Below are 6325 nucleotides of genomic sequence, written 5' to 3' on the forward strand. Positions count from 1 at the left end.
ATCTTCCTCTTAGTAATTACTTAGCAATTCAGAATATTCTGTGTGCAGGATGAAGAAATCTGGCTAGAGATGATATAATATAATCTGCTAACTAGTTATGTAAATATCTAGATTGAAAATATAAATGCATAGGAATGGAGTAGCTTTGGCATTGACAAATCCTAGTTTGGTGAGAGGTTTGGTCAGCCTAAACTTTTATGAACCTCATTGCTATTCTCCACTATTGATCATTACTCATCTGAATACTTCTGAGTATCTCGTGTGTTTTGTCTTCCAAATGTAGTTCACACAACTTAATTAGAGCAAAATTATAATAAGGACTTACAAAGAGAAATAAGGTTTGAAATATCTCAGCTCAAGACAAAGAAAAAATTGTTTATTCTGGAATAAATGATTTGAATCCTGATATTTGCAGATAGGTGAACTTAGTTGCCTTTTTAAACAAAGTTTTTTTTTTAATATCAATAAAATAGGAATAGTAATATCAACATTATAGGATAGTTTTATGGTAAATACGGTAATATATGTAAAGTATTTGTGCAGAGTAAATGCTCAAAGCTTGTTAGCTTTCTCCATTTTCCCCATCACATGTTCACAGAATCTGTGATGACATTTTTCATGTCAATCTCTACTTTTAAATGACCCACTTAAAAATCTTAAATTGAAGGGAAAAAGGAATCTGAAGACAAATAAATTATGTCAGATATTTTTATGTATATGATTTAAATGGAAAATTACTGGAATATTGCCAGTTTCTCTGAAATATCTCAAATTTCTCACCTGGGAAAAATTGAAGTTGCATGAAGAAATGATTCAAATCCTATCTAGAAACAGAACGACCAAATGCTCTAGTTGATTATTAACACAGAGCTAACTCAGAGTCTCTGGTGGAGGCATGGACCACCTGCAGCAGGGCTTAAAGCCCCTGGACTCAGCAGGATTGCTTTTGGATGTGCCATAGTTTCCATCTTTACCATGTTGATTAGTCCCCATTTTTGGAATGCAGAAACATATTCTGACAATGTATCTAGTCCCTTCTTTGGATCTGATACTGTATTTCTATTCATAGATTGAAGTCAATCATTCTTCCATTGCACTTCTGGTCAATTAAAAGCTTCAAGCTTTTATCACATCTATTTCTATCCTTCTTTTGTGATTGATTATTTTGTAACATGTAAAATGTAACATTTTCCCCAAATAAATGTTATTATATTGATTTCAGCCTATCATTTCAATTTATTTGCTTTTTTGGGTTTATTGTATCGTGAACATAATTAATTATCTTTCTAGCTTAGTATTCTTCAGCCACTAATGGAAAATGGCATACAATAGCACTAACACGCATCCTGATTTCAGTCTTGAAATCCACACCCTTGAGCATAGGGTTAAATAAACTTAAAACACTGTCTTGTGCTAACATCTAACCCATATTTCTCTACATTTACTGCCACTGTGCTGGAAATCTTCCACTTGTCCCTCCACACCTCACCCTAACCTACCCTACTACGTGCCCTGGGAGGCTGGCCTGTATGGACTGCATCAATAGGCTTCTCAGCTCTATGGCTTCTAGTTGGGTTTACCCAGTGGAGTGCTAAATGAAGATAGGAGGAAAGGAGGAAAGGAGAGGAGTGAAGTCAGGAATATTATTTTCCTAACTCCTTTCCTGTTGAATTTCCATGGGTTGGCTGCCTCCCTTGACTCAAGTCCATGCCTCCCACAGGGAGACTTTATGCATCTCATGATTATTACACATTTTGTGGACTATGAGACAAAATGGATGGTTATGTTAAATATACAGCTATTATATTAATATCAATTTATGTCTATTACAAATTACTTGTTATAGATTTGCTGACTTGTACATAGACAACTCATAAAAACATACATAAAATTTTATCATCTTTGGATCACTATATTTGATGACACCATACTGTTGCATTTTAGTGATACTTTGGATGTTGCTCGAAGCTTGACATATAACCCAAATGTCACAATTAAGTTATTAACTGGATGGTGAAAATACTCATACTTAGCACTTACATGTTGCTTTTTGTCATTAATGTGTATGACAAATAGGAGCTAATCAATAGCATAGCAGTGTATTCAGTAATGATCTTTTACTGTTGCTTGGTTCATTTCAGTTCAGAGGGCTTTTACTAGTAAGCCCATAAAACTGGTGACAAGTTTCAAGTTAATAGACAAGATTTATTTGAGTATGTCCCTCTTCACCCACCGTCCCCTCACCTGCTTAGCTTCCCACCAGATGGTGAAGCTCTAAAGGCAGAGATCCTTTTATCTCTGTATCCTCAATGCCTAGTTTAAGACCTGATACTTGGTAGACATTCAAAAAAGTGCTTATAGAGTGGATAAAGGAATAAGCAATATGGCAAAACTATTGACGTGATCATTTATGTTATTTCTAAGACCTGCTGTAAAAAGTGTCATGCACTGTTGTACTTTATATGCCAGATATTTTCAATTTCCCTTTCCATTGAAAAAGAAGACCATAGTTTAAGACTTTCAAAAACGTATGCTAGTATTTATTGACAGCTAGAAAACAACCTGTACCAAAGAAATGGATACATCCCATCATGTTAAAGGAGACTGAAGCCCATTCCTCTGAATTCACCATTTACAGCTGTCTTCTCTCCATGTAGCTCTGCTAAATGCACCAAAGTCAGTATCCTAGGGCAGACTTGGAGATTTTCACCAGCAAAGTGTAAAGTTTGCAGAGATTTCATCTCCTCTCCTCTGGTGGCTTGGGATTTGGGGAGAATGTTGAATTTGTCCTGACTCTCTAAGAGAGAGCCTGTGGCTTTCCAAGGAGGTGAGCTGGCCATTGATTCATGGCAGAGGGAGGGAGCATCCTTGACAAATCTGACATGTTGGGCATCGGCATCATTGCTTGTCAATACCCACATCAGAGAATAAGAGAAATGTTTTGGAATGCAGAAAATGACGACTGTGGCAGAGGATATAATCCAATGTGGAAAATAAGCAACTGCACAGTTCTAATGTTTAAAGAAAATCTCAACTATGTATGTCAAATAAGCATGAAAAGGATGATTGAAAACAGTCCAAGTTAGTGTTGAAGAAGAATCCAATTTTATAAAAGGATCTTGGAGACAGTTTAGTCTGACTCCCTCATTTCACAGCTAAGAAAATTCAGAACCAAAGAAGATAAATGACTTGCTCAAGGTCATACAACCAAGGCTTTTCACATTGTTTTCCTCAATACCACGTTCATTTCCACAGTAATCAGTACTCAACACTCCATTTAAATGTTATCAGTCATCTTAGAATCTGAAATTAAACCTGAACATTATTTCCCTAACATTTAGTGAGAGCTGATTTTGTATTAACTATAGGTGTTGTACAGATAAAATATTCCTACACTTCACATCTCTAGAGACTGACCAGGCCTTCCCTATGGAAGAAGGCAAGAATACAAGAATATTCTTGTGATAAAGGCAAAATGGAACTTCTTTAGTTCATATTATTTAAACTGTTATTATTAGGCTTCAAAGTCTATTATTATTTAGGCTTTGGAGTAATTCACATTCTCTGTGATTAAAAAAAAATTAAAAATTCTTCCCTCAAATTTTAAGTACTGTCAATTTGGTTTAAAATATGTACTTTTTTTTGTTGTTGTTGTTAGTTTTTATTCACTTTATTTATTTATTTATTTATTATAATTATACTTTAAGTTTTAGGGTACATGTGCACAATGTGCAGGTTAGTTACATATGTATACATGTGACATGCTGGTGCGCTGCACCCACTAACTCGTCATCTAGCATTAGGTATATCTCCCAATGCTATCCCTCCCCCCTCCCCCCACCCCACAACAGTCCCCAGAGTGTGATGTTCCCCTTCCTGTGTCCATGTGATCTCATTGTTCAATTCCCACCTATGAGTGAGAATATGCGGTGTTTGGTTTTTTGTTCTTGTGATAGTTTACTGAGAATGATGATTTCCAATTTCATCCATGTCCCTACAAAGGACATGAACTCATCATTTTTTATGGCTGCATAGTATTCCATGGTGTGTATATGTGCCACATTTTCTTAATCCAGTCTATCACTGTTGGACATTTGGGTTGGTTCCAAGTCTTTGCTATTGTGAATAATGCCGCAATAAACATACATGTGCATGCGTCTTTATAGCAGCATGATTTATAGTCCTTTGGGTATATACCCAGTAATGGGATGGCTGGGTCAAATGGTATTTCTAGTTCTAGATCCCTGAGGAATCGCCACACTGACTTCCACAATGGTTGAACTAGTTTACAGTCCAACCAACAGTGTAAAAGTGTTCCTATTTCTCCACATCCTCTCCAGCACCTGTTGTTTCCTGACTTTTTAATGATTGCCATTCTAACTGGTGTGAGATGGTATCTCATTGTGGTTTTGATTTGCATTTCTCTGATGGCCAGTGATGATGAGCAGTTTTTCATGTGTTTTTTGGCTGCATAAATGTCTTCTTTTGAGAACTGTCTGTTCATGTCCTTTGCCCACTTTTTGATGGGGTTGTTTGTTTTTTTCTTGTAAATTTGTTTGAGTTCATTGTAGATTCTGGATATTAGCCCTTTGTCAGATGAGTAGGTTGTGAAAATTTTCTCCCATTTTGTAGGTTGCCTGTTCACTCTGATGGTGGTTTCTTTTGCTGTGCAGAAGCTCTTTAGTTTAATTAGATCCCATTTGTCAATTTTGGCTTTTGTTGTGATTGCTTTTGGTGTTTTAGACATGAAGTCCTTGCCCATGCCTATGTCCTAAATGGTAATGCCTAGGTTTTCTTCTAGGGTTTTTATGGTTTTAGGTCTAATGTTTAAGTCTGTAATCCATCTTGAATTAATTTTTGTATAAGGTGTAAGGAAGGGATCCAGTTTCAGCTTTCTACATATGGCTAGCCAGTTTTCCCAGCACCATTCATTAAAAAGGGAATCCTTTTCCCATTGCTTGTTTTTCTCAGTTTTGTCAGAGATCAGATAGTTGTAGATATGTGGCATTATTTCTGAGGGCTCTGTTCTGTTCCATTGATCTATATCTCTGTTTTGGTACCAGTACCATGCTGTTTTGGTTACTGTAGCCTTGCAGTAGAGTTTGAAGTCAGGTAGTGTGATGACTCCAGCTTTGTTCTTTTGGCTTAGGATTGACTTGGCGATGCGGGCTCTTTTTTGGTTCCATATGAACTTTAAAGTAGTTTTTTCCAATTCTGTGAAGAAAGTCATTGGTAGCTTGATGGGGATGGCATTGAATCTGTAAATTACCTTGGGCAGTATGGCCATTTTCACGATATTGATTCTTCCTACCCATGAGCATGGAATGTTCTTCCATTTGTTTGTATCCTCTTTGATTTCCTTGAGCAGTGGTTTGTAGTTCTCCTTGAAGAGGTCCTTCACATCCCTTGTAAGTTGGATTCCTAGGTATTTTATTCTCTTTGAAGCAATTGTGAATGGGAGTTCACCCATGATTTGGCTCTCTGTTTGTCTGTTGTTGGTGTATAAGAATGCTTGTGATTTTTGTACATTGATTTTGTATCCTGAGACTTTGCTGAAGTTGCTTATCAGCTTAAGGAGCTTTTGGGCTGAGACAATGGGGTTTTCTAGATATACAATCATGTCATCTGCAAACATGGACAATTTGACTTCCTCTTTTCCTAATTGAATACTCTTTATTTCCTTCTCCTGCCTAATTGCCCTGGCCAGAACTTCCAACACTATGTTGAATAGGAGTGGTGAGAGAGGGCATCCCTGTCTTGTGCCAGTTTTCAAAGGGAATGCTTCCAGTTTTTGCCCATTCAGTATGATATTGGCTGTGGGTTTGTCATAGATAGCTCTTATTATTTTGAAATACGTCCCATCAATACCTAATTTATTGAGAGTTTTTAGCATGAAGGATTGTTGAATTTTGTCAAAGGCTTTTTCTGCATCTATTGAGATAATCATGTGGTTTTTGTCTTTGGCTCTGTTTATATGCTGGATTACATTTATTGATTTGCATATATTGAACCAGCCTTGCATCCCAGGGATGAAGCCCACTTGATCATGGTGGATAAGCTTTTTGATGTGCTGCTGGATTCGGTTTGCCAGTATTTTATTGAGGATTTTTGCATCAATGTTCATCAAGGATATTGGTCTAAAATTCTCTTTTTTGGTTGTGTCCCTGCCCGGCTTTGGTATCAGGATGATGCTGGCCTCATAAAATGAGTTAGGGAGGATTCCCTCTTTTTCTATTGATTGGAATAGTTTCAGAAGGAATGGTACCAGTTCCTCCTTGTACCTCTGGTAGAATTCGGCTGTGAATCCATCTGGTCCTGGACTCTT

The sequence above is a fragment of the Homo sapiens genome, chromosome 4, assembly GCF_000001405.40.
Source record: "Homo sapiens chromosome 4, GRCh38.p14 Primary Assembly".
Lineage (NCBI taxonomy): Eukaryota > Metazoa > Chordata > Mammalia > Primates > Hominidae > Homo > Homo sapiens.